The sequence below is a fragment of the Homo sapiens genome, chromosome 18 (assembly GCF_000001405.40).
Source record: "Homo sapiens chromosome 18, GRCh38.p14 Primary Assembly".
Lineage (NCBI taxonomy): Eukaryota > Metazoa > Chordata > Mammalia > Primates > Hominidae > Homo > Homo sapiens.
Genome location: NC_000018.10, coordinates 71,114,258 through 71,129,094, shown reverse-complemented (window position 1 = coordinate 71,129,094; position 14,837 = coordinate 71,114,258). Strand labels below are relative to the sequence as shown.

The following is a 14,837-nucleotide window of genomic DNA, read 5'->3' as shown; positions in this document are numbered from 1 at the left end:
AAAACCCATCTATATGTTGTGCACAAGAAAACATCATTAAGACGATATTTAGACAGTTTAAAGGGAAAATAGGGAAAAATAATTAATTCAAAACTAAGCAAAAGAAAGCCAGAATAGCTATATTAACTTAAGGTAAATTTCAGAACAAGGAAAATTTCAAGGATAAAGAGGGATGTTACAGTAAATTCTCCAAAAAGACATACAATCTTTCATGAATATGAACTTTAAGACAGAGTTTCAAAATACATATGGCAAAAAAAATGACGGATTTAACTGGAGAAATAGAGACACCCACAATTTTCTTTGGAGATTTAAAAACTGCTCTCTCGATGACTGATAAAACAAGGAGGAAGAAAATTTAGCAAGGGTAATAAATAACCTGATGAGCAGTATCAAAATCTTGACCTAAATGACATTTATAGAACACTTCGTTTAGCAAAAACAGCATAAGCATTCTTCTCAAGTAAGCATAAAACATTAACCAAAAATACCACTTTCTGGTCTATAACACACATTTTTGAAACTGAGTAAACAGAAGACATACAATGTGCATTCTTAGACCATATCTGCATTAAGCTAGAGATTAATAACAGAAAAATATATCAGCAATCTTCCAGTATTCAGGAAGTAAACAATATACTTCTAAATAATCTATGGCTCAAAGGGGGGAGTCTCAAGAGAAATTATATAAAAAAGAAGTAAATAAAAATGAAACTATGACATATCAAAATTTGTGGGATGCAGCTAACTCAGTGCTTACAGGGAAATTTATAGTGCTAAATACAAATATTTAGAAAGAAGAAAGACCTAAAATTAATAACTGAAGCTTGCATCTTAGGAATTAGAGAACGATGAGCAAATAATTCAACCTAAAATAAGCAAAAATTAGAGCAGAAGTCAACAAAATTAAAAATAGGAAAATAACAGAGAAAATCAATGAAACCAAAAGCTGTTTTTTAAAAAGATTAATAAAATGAACAACCCTCTAGCAAGACTGGCAAAGAAAAAGAGAAGGCACAAGTTACCAGTATCAAGAATGAAACAAGAGATATCACTATAAACACTGCAGACATCAAGAGGATGAAAAGGAAATACTATGGATATTTCTACACACATAACTGGGACTACTTAGGTGAAAATGGACCACCTCCTGTATAAACACCAACTACAATGATTCACTCATTATGAAAGTGATCATTCGAAGAGCCCCATAATAATTAAGAAGGTTAAGATAAAACAAAATGTAGAAAAAAGAAAAAAACACATTATTTGCTAATGACATGACCATCTATGTAGAAAATCCCAAAGAATCTACACAATTTCTTGGAACTGATAATGAGGTTAGCAAAGTAGTAGTATACAGGTTTAATATACAAAGGTTAATTACATTCTTACATTCCAGAGATAAAAGATTTAAATATGAAGTTAAAATATTGAACACAAAATAAATGAAATACTTTGGTATAAACTAACAATATATGTGCAGGATTTTTATGCTGAAAACTGAAAAATACTGGTGAAAGAAGTCAACAAAGACCGAAATAATTAGAGATATATACTATGTTTATATATTAAAAGGCAGAATATTGTTAAGCTACCACTTCTCTCCAATTCAGCTTATTTGAATAACATCTCAAACAAAACAACAATAAATTCTTTTTGTGGAAATGAACAAGAATCCAAAATGTATGTGAACAGCCACAGAAATAGAATAGCCTAAGCAATTCTGAAAGAAGAACAAAATTGAAGGACTCATATTACCCAATCTCAAGTCTTACTATAAATCTACATTAATTAAGACAGTGTGGTACTGACCTGCTGTTATACATCAATTGAACAGAATAGAGAGCTCATAAAGAGATACATGCAAATATAGTCAACTAATTTGACAAGGAAACAAAAGAAATTCAATACAGGCTCGGCGTGGTGGCTTACGCCTGTAATCCCAGCACTCTGGGAGGCCGAGGCGGGTGCATCACCTGAGGAGAGGAGTTCAAGACCAGCCTGACCAACATGGTGAAACCCCATCTCTACTAAAAACACAAAAATGAACCGGGTGTCATGGTGGGCGCCTATAGTACCAGCTACTCGGGAGGCTGAGGCAGGAGAATCACTTAAGCCCAGGAGGCGGAGGTTGCAGCAAGCCGGGATTTCACCACTGCACTCCAGTCTAGGCAACAGACCAAGACTCTGCCTAAAAAAAAAAAAAAAAAAATTCAAGAGAAAAATGATAGTCTTTTCAATGAATGATGATGAAACAATCATATATTTATATAAAAAACTTCAACTAAATTAATACTCATTTAAAAATTAACTAGGAATTGATTATAAATTAAATGTAAGATATAAATATAAGTATACAACCTCTAGATGAATATTTAGGAGAAGATCTATAGAACATTGTGTTTGGGGGGGGATTTATTATTATTATTTTTTTTATTCATTCATGCATGTATTCATTCAGTAAAAAGTTATTAAGTGATATATTTATTAAGTAATTTAACCTAAGAATCTAAGACACCTAAAGAATAAGTAGGAGTTAGCAAAGGAAGAAACTAACGTTATTTGATAAAAGCACAAATCATATTACTCTCTTCCTTAAAACTTCCTATAGCTTCCCATTGTACTTAGGATAAAACTCACATTCCACATTTCCACAGCAAAGAGTTCCTGCATGACTGAGTTCCTCCTTTCTGTGCCTCTTGCTTCATCTATTACTCTTCATTTGCCTTGATGTTTCTTGAATATATAGGCCAAGTTCATTTCTACCTTGAGGGCATTTTTTTTTTTTTTTTGAGACACAGTCTCACTCTGTCGCCCATGCTGGAGTAGAGTGGACTGATCTCAGCTCACTGCAACCTCTGCCTCCCAGATTCAAGTGATTCTCCTGCCTCAGTCTCCTGAATAGCTGGGACTACAAGCGCACACTCCATGCCCAGCTAATTTTTGTAATTTTTTTTCTTTTTTTGTACAGATGAGGTTTCACCATGTTGGCCAGGCTGGTCTCAAACTCCTGACTTCAGGTGATCCTCCCACCTTGGCCTCCCAAAGTGCTGTGATTACAGGCATGAGCCATCATGCCCAGTAAAGGCCATTTTTCTGACATACTATAATGCATTTTTATGCCTTCTTTAATTTTTAAATCTGGGGTAATGAAGCTTCAGACAATGAAGTATAACCTCCTTATTAATTCTTTGCTCTGCACAGTAATTCTCTCTCCCCACATCTTAAGTCAAATGTCACTCCAGTGATGCCTTCCGAGACAACCTTATCTAAGTTGACATTTTTCTCCATAATAACTTATCACTAGCTGGAGTTATCTTGTTCATTGTTTACTTGTTCTTGTCTGTCTCCCTTCATAAGCATGCAAGGTCCGTGAGAGCTGGAATTTTGTCCTGTTCATTCCTGTATCTCCAGTCCCTAGAAGAATGCCTGACACATCATAGGCATTCAACAAATAATACCTATCCTGGAAGGTGAGATTTGTATGTGAAATATTTTGTTTTATTATTATTATTATACTTTAAGTTCTAGGGTACATGTGCACAATGTGCAGGTTTGTTACATAAGTATGCATATGCCATATTGGTTTGCTGCACTCATCAACTTGTCATTTACATTAGGTATTTCTTCTAACGCTATTCCTCCCCCAGCCCCCCACCCCCTAATAGGCCCCAGTGTATGATGTTCATGTTTGGGAATGAATTTATAGCTACTACACCAGAAGTACAATGAATAAAAGAGAAAAGTGTTATTGGACTTTATAAAAATTTCAACTTTTGCTCTGCAAATTATTGTTTAGATAATGAAAAGATAAGCCACACTCTAAATAAAAATATTTGCAAAATCCATATCTGGATGAAAGGACTTTCAGCCAATAACCATAAAGAATATTAAATCTCACCAATAAGAAAGCAGGTAACCACTTTCTAAAAGTTGTCATAAATTTGAAAAGATACTACACCACAGAAAATATATGGATGGCAAATAAACATTTGGAAATAGGCTCAACGTCAAGGGAAGTTCATATAAAAGCGCAATGAAATACCACTATGCACTATTAGAATGGCAAAAATGCAAAACATCAAATAAATCTCTGGCCAGGATTTGGAGTAAGAGGTACTCTTATTTATTGCTTATGGGGAATGCAAAATGGCACAGTCTATTTGGGATAGACTTATATTCATAAAGTTAAACACAGACTTACTATAAGAGACAGCAACCACATTCCTAAATATTTACCCAAGAGAATTTAAAATATGTGTTCACACAAAAACATATGTAAATATTCATAGCACTTTACTCATAATTTCTAAAAATGAAAATAAGATGTTCCTTAATAGGGAAATGAAATGAAAATGAGAGTACATCCACGTAATGGAATACTATTCAGTGATAAAGAGGAGTGAGTTATTGATTCACTCAACAACATGAATTAATGTTATTGATTTTTCTTTTCTAACCAAGTTTAAAAAGCCAAACCCATAGTCTACATATAGTATAATTTCATTCATATGAAATTTGGAAAAAAGTAAAACTATAGGTTCAACTGTCTGATCTTTGACAAACCTGAGAAAAACAAGCAATGGGGAAAGGATTCCCTATTTAATAAATGGTGCTGGGAAAACTGGCTAGCCATATGTAGAAAGCTGAAACTGGATCCCTTCCTTACACCTTATACAAAAATTAATTCAAGATGGATTAAAGACTTAAATGTTAGACCTAAAACCATAAAAACTCTAGAAGAAAACCTAGGCATTACCATTCAGGACATAGGCATGGGCAAGGACTTCATGTCTAAAACACCAAAAGCAATGGCAACAAAAGCCAAAATTGACAAATGGGATCTAATTAAACTAAAGAGCTTCTGCACAGCAAAAGAAACTACCATCAGAGTGAACAGGCAACCTACAAAATGGGAGAAAATTTTCACAACCTACTTATCTGACAAAGGGCTAATATCCAGAATCTATAATGAACTCAAACAAATTTACAAGGAAAAAGCAAACAACCCCATCAAAAAGTGGGCGAAGGATATGAACAGACACTTCTCAAAAGAAGACATTTATGCAGCCAAAAAACACATGAAAAAATGCTCACCATCACTGGCCATCAGAGAAATGCAAATCGAAACCACAATGAGATACCATCTCACACCAGTTAGAATGGCAATCATTAAAAAGTCAGGAAACAACAGATGCTGGAGAGGATGTGGAGAAATAGGAACACTTTTACACTGTTGGTGGGACTGTAAACTAGTTCAACCATTGTGGAAGTCAGTGTGGCGATTCCTCAGGGATCTAGAACTAGAAATACCATTTGACCCAGCCATCCCATTACTGGGTATATACCCAAAGGACTATAAATCATGCTGCTATAAAGACACATGCACACGTATGTTTATTGCGGCACTAGTCACAATAGCAAAGACTTGGAACCAATCCAAATGTCCAACAATGATAGACTGGATTAAGAAAATGTGGCACATATACACAATGGAATACTATGCAGCCATAAAAAATGATGAGTTCATGTCCTTTGTAGGGACATGGATGAAATTGGAAATCATCATTCTCAATAAACTATCACAAGGACAAAAAACCAAACACCACATGTTCTCACTCATAGGTGGGAATTGAACAATGGGAACACATGGACACAGGAAGGGGAACATCACACTCTGGGGACTGTTGTGGGGTGGGGGGAGGGGTAGGAATGGCATTAGGAGATATACCTAATGCTAAATGACGAGTTGATGGGTGCAGCACACCAGCATGACACATGTATACATATGTAACTAATCTGCACATTGTGCACATGTACCCTAAAACTTAAAGTATAATAAAAAAAACTATAGGTTCAAAATATAGAAAATATAGATCTGTTATTGTCAAGGATTTGAGAAAGTTCGAGTGTTTGACTAGGGCAAGCACAGGGAATTATTTAGAGTGGGGAAACAAATGCATGAAGCTTGCATTTCCTCAAACTCATGTCTGTATATCAGAAAGAATAAGCTTTAATGTATGATAACTTAAAGTACACACAGGTATCAGGGACCCCAGGATGGAAGAGAATGCCTATTGTATAATTGAATCTAATGGGATTATAGATATTAGGCATAAGTGTGCTGAAGAAAGCAGGGAGTGTTGGAGGTATGGATGAAGCTGATATGAATAATTTAGGACAGTGGCGTTTGGAAGAAGACAAAAAGAACTGCACACAATCACTGCATTCTAGATGGTAAGTGTCTTTCTCATGGAGAAAATTTACAGACCTACAATACTGAAATACTTTTCCTATATATGTGGGTTTAACTAATAAGTAAATGGAGGGTAGATTCTAAGGGCCAAGCTTCTCATAGTCTGAGAGAGAAGTTACAGGTAGACAAGAAGAAAAAAATGAGAATGACCCATGCAAGCTGCCTTAGAGTCAGAGATATCACCATAAACTGAAGTTTAGCTCAATGTGTATGTAGATGGATAAACACAGAAGCAATTATAGATGTTTGAATATAAATGTGGGTTAGTATACATATATACTATACATATATTATATATATGGGCTGTCATCATATACAATCAAGATGGTCATATTGGGAACTAACTCAATAGTAAAACTAGCTCATACACAAAAAATAAAATACCTAGGAATACATCTAGCCAAGGAGGTGAAAGATCTCTACAAGGAGAACTACAAAACACTGCTAAAAGAAATTACAGATGACATAAACAAATGGAAAAACATTCCATGCTCATGAACTGGAAGAATCAATATCCTTAAAATGGCCATACTGCCCAAAGCAATCTACATATTCAATGTGATTCCTATCAAACTAACAATGCCATTTTTCACAGAAATATTTTAGAAAAAAACTAATCTACAATGAATATGAAACCAAAAAAGAGCCTGAATAGCCAAAGCAATACTAAGCAAAAACAACAAAGGACCACATTATCTGACTTCAAACTATACTGTAAGGCTACAGTAACCAAAACAGTGTGGTACTGATGTAAAAACAGACACCTACACAAATGGAACAGAATAGAGAGCCCAGAAATAAAGCCACACCCCTACATCATTCTGTTATTCAACAAAATAGACAAAAATAAACAATGTGGAAAGGACTCTCTATTCAATAAATAGTGCTGGGATAGCTAGCCAGCCATATGCAGAAGATTGAAAATTGACCCCTAAATTTCACCATATACAAAAACCAATTCAAGATGGATTAAATATTTAAATGTAAGACCTCAAACTATAAGAATCCTAGAATAAAACCTAGGAGACACCATTCTGGACATTGATCAATGGACAGAAATTATGGCTAAGTCCTCAAAAGCAACTCTAACAAAAACAAACATTGATAAGTGGGACCTAATTAAACTAAAGAGCTCTGTACACCAAAACAAACAACCAACAGAGTAACTAGACAACCTAAGAAATGGGAAAAAAATATTCACAAGCTATGCGTCTAACAAAGGTCTAATATTCAGAATCTATAAGGAACTTAAACAACTCAACAGGGAAAAAAAAAACACGATCTAAAATTGGGCAAAATACATGAACAGACATTTCTCAAAAAAAAAAAAAAAAAAACTAAGAAGCAGCCAACAAACATATGGAAAAATGCTCCAATTCACTAATTATCAGAGAAATGCAAATTAAAACCACAGTGTGATACCATCTCACACCAGTCAGTATGGCCATTATTAAAAGCCTAAAAACAATAGATGCTGGCAAGGCTGCAAAGCAAAGGGAATGCTAATACATGGTTGGTGGGAATGTAAATTAGTTCAGCCACTGTGGAAAACAGTTTTGAGACTTCTCAAATAACTTAAAACAGAACTACCATTCAACCCAGCAATCCCATTACTGGGAATATATCCAAAAGAAAACAAATCATTCTGCCAAAAAGACATATGCCCCCTCACATTCATTGCAATAGTATTCACAATAGCAAAGACATGGAATCAACATAGGTGCCAATCAACAGTGGACAAAGAAGTGGTATTTCATGGTATATGTACCACGTTTTGTTTATATCCAGTAGTTCGTAAAGAAAATCTGGTGAATATACACCATGAAATACTATACAGCCATAAAAAGAATGAAATCATGCTTCTTACAACATGGATGTAGCTGGAGGCCATTATCCCAAGCAAACTAAAACAAAAAACAGAAAACCAAATACTGTATGTTCTCACTTATAAGTGAGTGCTAAACCTTGAGTATTAATGCACATGAGGATGTCAACAATAGAAACTGGGGACTACTAGTAGGGGAAAGAAGGAAGGGAGATAAGTGTTGAATAACTATCCATTGGGTACTATGCTCGCTACTGGGTGACGGAATCGTTCATACCCCAAACCTCAACATCAAGCAATATACCCAGGTAACAAACCCGTACATGTACCCCCCTGAATCTAAAATAAAAGTTGAAAAAGTTACCAATAAGACTAGTGCAGAGACTAGAAGAGAAACCAAGCATGATACTTTTTAATATAGTTAAAATGTATAATTAGTTGATATAGTAATTCTGTGCTAGTAATTTAGGATTAAGTACAAGACTGCCTAGGGACATCTTAAACTACTTTGAATGACAGATGAGCAAGATTAACCCACACAGGTGGCATCCGCATCTGATATGTGTTCCAATTGCTTGCAGAATTTGTAATGACTGAGCAAATATGTAAAGATAGGAATAAGTCAATTTAAAGTTAACTAAGCTTGGGAGGGTTTAATAAATTGGCAAAGAGTAACCATTTTTACAGTGTAATAAGCCTTTAATCAAGAACCTATCATACCTAGATAACTTGAAGAAAACCCTATATAAACTAACATTTCAAGATTCAGTAAGTATGCCAGAGATAAAGAGGGACTCAATATCAACATAACCACCAATGTGTAGCAAATGAGAACTTCTAAACAAAATGAAAAAACAGGGACTGGATTTATTCTCTGTGTTATCAACATAACCACCAATGTGTAGAAAACAACTATGAAATGGGAAAAAATATTCACATAGAAAAAAAATTCCTATAGTTTGTCTAAAAATCTAACTGCATGTAAGTGTTATTTATGCAGTTGGGTAAATCAGTAACTCATTTCTATTTATCTCAGATAAATAAACATAGACAAATATTGTCTAAAAATAGACAAATTATAGGGAGCAACAGTTTTCATGATGCTGGACATCAGGTAATGGATAATGCCAAATTTTGAAATTTACTCAAAATACCAGTAGGAGAATAGAGAGATATTCATTCTCTTAAAGAGACTGTCTGCAACACATATACCTGATAGAAGACTTTTATTTAGAATGTATAAGACACTCTTGGAAATCACTAATAAGGAAACTACCAGTCCAATTTAAAAATGGGCAAAACGTTTGAACAGACACTTCATGAAAAAGATATATGGCTGAAAAGCAAATAAATGAAGAGATGTTTAACATCTTTTGTTATTAGGGAAATGCAAGATAAAATCACAATGAAGTATCACTATACGTTGATTGAAATGACTACAATTTAAAAGACTGATTATACCAAGTTTTGGTGGTGATACAAAGCAACTGAAATACTCACTTATGTCTGGGGAGAATACAAAATATTGCAACCACATTTGAAAAAATTTTATAGTTTCTTATAAACTTAAACATACACCATATACCATATAATCTTAATATTACACTCCCAGGTATTTACCCAAGAGAAGTAAAAGTACATGACTACACAGACTTTTGCATGAATTTCAGTGGCAGCTTTGCTTAGAATAGTAAAAAAGTGGAAACAGTGGGATGGATAAGCAAAATGTGGCATATCCATGCAAAGAATATTATTCTAAGATAAATAGAAATGAGTTACTGATTTACCCAGCTGCATAAATAAAACTTACATGCAGTTAGATTACTGGAAAAAGCTACACCACAAAGTCTACACACACACTCAGAATGATTCCATTCATCTGACATTCTGGAAAAGGCAAAACTGTAGACATGAAAAATGAATGAGTGGCTGCCGAAGGTTTGGGGAGAGTAGAGTGTTTGACAAGGGGAAGTCAAGAGGACTTGTGACAGCGTTGGAACAAATCTGAATGGTTCCCTAGTGGTGGATGTGAGACTATGCATTGGACAAAAGCATAGAATTGTATAGCACAAAGTGTAAACATTAATGTATGCACATTATTAAAAGAAATAAGCCAGGACATTGTGGGATCTCAAGATAGAATGTCAACTGTGACAAATGCGTCTAATTATAATGGAAATCACTGCATGGAAGAACATGGGGAGAAGACACTGATCTAAGTAACTTTGGAGAAAGGGTGTTTTGACTGGAAACTCTAATGGCAATGATAAAGGGAAATGTATATAAATATTGTACTCTACATAGTAAATGTTTTTCTCATGAAAATATGGTTAAAACTTCTGAAATTGCTTTACATGGATCCTGGAGTTGAACCAATAAGTAAATGGGTTGTGAAAGTGGGTGCCAAATTTCTCACAGAGAGTGAAATTACAGTAAGCAAAGTGGGAGGCTAGAATAAAGGGCTGCATCAGAGAGCCAGAGCTCCAGGTAACCGAGGCTGGGAGTTGACGGTTGTCATGGCTGGCCCCACTTGCCCTGAGAAGTCCTTCTGCAACATGGAGATGGAAGTCAGTGGGGTGGGGAGGAGGGAGCGGGGTGGGAGCACAGCCTGGATAAATGGCACTGATGCCCCCTGTATGTTCTGAAAATCAGTATCTTTTCTTGAATAAATGCTTCTCAGTTTTTTCTATGCACCTTGGTCAATTTTCAGAGACCTTAAATGATTGTTTCTGCCATTTCGTCTAGTTTTATTGATTCTTTCATAGGAAAAATATTTGCTGAGCTCTTCTTGGTACAAAAGTGGCTGGCACTTCTTCTGGGATGCTGGTATTGTTCTTTATCTGCCCCTATGGTGGTTACCTTGGCGTATTTAGCAGTAACAATCTGTTGAACTGTATGAATTGATCACTTATTATTGTGTACCTCAATAAAATATTTTATTAAAAAATAGCCAAGTTCCATCAAGGCTTGAAACTTACACAGTGACATTTGGCTTTGAAATGTTAGTCATGTGTTATCTCTCAGTGATGTTTTTGGGAGGAGAAGGTGAGGCACTAGTTGATGTTCAACTCATTCTATACACTTTTTTAAGTGATAGGGTTAAGGTACATTTTATTAATGATGTTTTCCAGTGTTTTCAAGAGATTATTTTGAAAGAGAACAACAACCTTGTATCATTGTAGCAACTGCACTGTGAAATCATGGCCCTCATATTCCAGAACACACCCTTTGATACCTTCTGAAATTAAATTCAGCCTAAGGAAGGAATCTCTATAGATTCTCACTTTGACAGTAAACACTGTTGAAAGCAAGGTTTGCTGATGTGCTGTGGAATGTGCCTGCTGCCCAACTTGAAGGACTTATCTGTTTAGGGATTAAAAAAGGAGAAAAGAACATTTTGGTTTTCATGTCCACACGGAGCCCTTGAGCACAGTACATCGTATTTTTCTCTCTCCAGCAGCTAGTAATGAGTCCGGAAACTATTTGGCAGACAATACGTACTTGAGGAATAAATACATCAATTTCTATTTATTCTGCTTTCTCATTTAAACCATTAAAAGTGGTCCATGACACTATGATATTTTGGAAAACATTCTCCCCAAGGCAGTAGCAGTCTTGTCGGATGAATAAGAAGGTGCTTTAGCTTTACGAGAAAATCACGGTTACTGAAAAAAACACCTAATTAAGTTGAATCCAATGTGCTTTCTTAACCACTAGTCCCCACATTAACTTCTATATCATGTCACATAGTTTATGTTCTCTCACAAATCTCTAGCACTCTCTTAATCACATTGAAACAAAGCAGGTAGTTTGCACTATTTATTTCATTAATCAGTAAAGCTCCTCATATTTGACAAGTATTATTGCATCATTTTATATTAACTGTTTCACTAAGCAACCCAATACAATAATATCCTCATTAGTGGCAAAGGAATGTGAGATAAAGAGAAGTTAACTATGTCTCAGAGAGTCAAGCAAAATAAGCTGCGAGAATAAAATTGAATTTTGGCATTTGGATTGATATTCTGCTGATCCATGGCACATGGCATGTATGAAGGGTGGGGATGTTGATTTTGTAAACTAGGATATAGTTTTGTAAATTGTCAAAATTCATTAGAATGGTCCTATAAACACGTATATAATTAGGTAGATATTAATGCCGCAATCATAACATGTGTTCTTCTCATGCATCTGCTCCCTACAGTTCTCCAAGTAATAGTCACATTTGAGGGATCTGGGTGAAAGGAAGCCACCAGGGTCAGTGAGGATCATTTGAATATTCTTGTTAACACATGAGCCGTCTGGCACAGTGCCATTTCCCTGAAAAATTAGCCTCTCATTTCCTGTTTTCTATTTATTTTAGCTAGAGAACATTTGTTCTTTTTTTGAAAGTGAAATACTTACATTTAGTAAGAAAACATTAAGTCAGGTTTTTATGAAAGAGAACGGCAATGCTAAGTGGGGTGAAAAATAATTTCATTAATTTTAATAATTCCCTGAATACATAAGGCCTTGCATTTTATACTTTTTGTTTTTAATTATCACTTTCAAAATGATCGGATTTGACTGATGAGAAATCTGTTGGTCATTATCTTTCTCTTTTTTTTAACATTCACATTTTTCTATTTATTTTCTCTATCCTTTTTTTTCTCTCCAATTATTCAACACACTCTCCTCCTTCACATCTTACATATTTCTAATTATTTCTACCCTATTAGATCTTCATATTGATTTGTATGATTTGGGACCATTTACAATGAAACTCTGGCATTTTAAAAAAATTAGGTAAGTCTGCTCCTTTCCTACGAGAACAGCAGTTAGTTTACATGGGAGGATAATTAATTGATTTCACAGGCCCTGGTCAGAGCATTTCCAACTTATTTTCCTGCATTTTTTAAAAAAGCATTCATTTCTGAAAACAAATTTCTTTTTCTCTCTAAGAAAATTGTTAGAATATGCTGCCTTTGTTAAAAAAGTAGATATGCTGTTGCCATTTGCTGAAATATATGATAAATATATAAATCTATGGGGTATAAATAGTTTCCTCAGGGTTATGCTTTTTAGGGAGATTCTTTCTTCCATTCTGTCTTCCAACCTAGGACCTTGCAATTCCATTTTCTAAACTACTTAAATGCAAGCACTGATTACTCAATGATTCCAGTGTCTATTTTTTCTATATTTATAAATTGAAGTAAATCTTAACACCCAGTTTGTGCATTTGAATCTTGTGTTACTATTTCTTCTTGCCGTTGTTTTCCATCTTAAGCATACATATTTTATTGTCTTGTATTGCCGTTTTTATTTTCCAATTGTTATGTCTCAAGTACAATGTGCTGGACACCGTCCAACATGTTTTATGAATATCAAGTCATTCTATGATAAATCCTGATCTGGGCCCCTCAGTGGGCTGGCCTGATCAGGCCACACAATCCCAACTTGGGGTCACCCCGTATAAAGCAGAGGCAGCTGGACAGCTTTTTCCAAAACATTCACCCATGTCTTATAGCTGGCCACGCCCAGCAAACCCGATGATACCTACACAGCCACGCAGTAACACTCGGAGGCTTTGCCGTACTAAATGCGAGCAGAGGTGATTCATGAGATTGTGGCTCTAAAATCCACCCCCTTCCTTTCCCCTCATATCTCATCTTGGAGAGGTACTGGCATTTCCTTCTTGATAGTAAAAATGTTCAGACTCGATCTTTCAGTTTCTGACAGTATTTTCTCTTAAGCAAATATCACAACTCTACTGTCTCCCGTTCTTGGAGTGATCATTGCCTTTTGTTCTCACATATGCCCATTTCGTTTTACTTCTTAATTTCCTCATGTAACAAGCAGTTTTCTGTACTGGGAACTTTTCTTTGACGGGCCTTTTCTTTTTGCCTGGAACTTCTGTGTCCAGATTATGGAAATTTCTCTCTATGTTAATTTTACATTTGCCTCTGCAGGGAAACTAGGGGATTCACCATCTAGGAAACCGTTTTCGTTTTCATTACTCAGTGTTGGCTGGAGTCCTGCTGCACGGAGCTGAAGCTCTTCAGATCTATGTTAACATGTGGGATGGGTTTTAGTTTTCAATTTCATCTGAGTGGCATGACATGCGAGGAAATTTCTTCTCATTTCTCCAGGCCAAAGGGGAATGATTTTATAATCCCAGGTTTGCGTGTGGGCCAGCACTTTGAGGTGAGCCGATGTATGGTTTCCTGAGAACATACAGGAGGGTGTGTCGTTCCTTATGTAGGCCTCAAACCTGACTCTTTTTCCTTCCTGTGTCCTTATATGGACATTCGAAAATGAGCTTCATTAGGAAATTGTGCATCCTCCAAATCTTCCCAGAAGAGTGCTGCGCACTAGCTCCTGTAGCCCTGGTGATTTCCTGCTCTTGTTTTTTAGTTCATCAATATATTTAAATACTTTTTTGTTATATTTTATCCATTGTTTCTTTGTGTTCTTGAATTCTAACAGTCCTTCATGACCTGAACTATTATAAGTTATATACTATGGTGCTTACTTCAAATACCTAACCACTGGATTCAGCTTTATTCTGTGTTGTCAATTACGTACTATTTGTAGCCATGTGTTTTATGGCAACAAGTGAAGAAATTAGACATATTTTCTAGTTAAGGAATTATAAAAAGATAAAGTTGTTAAATTTTAGCACTCTCTATAGACATTACTATTGAAAAAGCGTTGTTCATTTTCAATGAATATTTTGAATAATATTAAGTATTAAATTTAACTTCCAAATTTCAA

The 14,837-nt window shown here is 35.3% G+C and overlaps 1 annotated feature.

The window, feature by feature from the left end:
- Positions 13,422–14,621: an enhancer, noted in NCBI's record as "BRD4-independent group 4 enhancer chr18:68781710-68782909 (GRCh37/hg19 assembly coordinates)". NCBI's record gives its function as "activates an origin of replication core promoter dependent on BRD2, P300/CBP, MED14 and CDK7 cofactors, and independent of BRD4, by STARR-seq in HCT116 cells {active_cell/tissue: HCT116}" and the evidence as "EXISTENCE:reporter gene assay evidence [ECO:0000049][PMID:35650434]".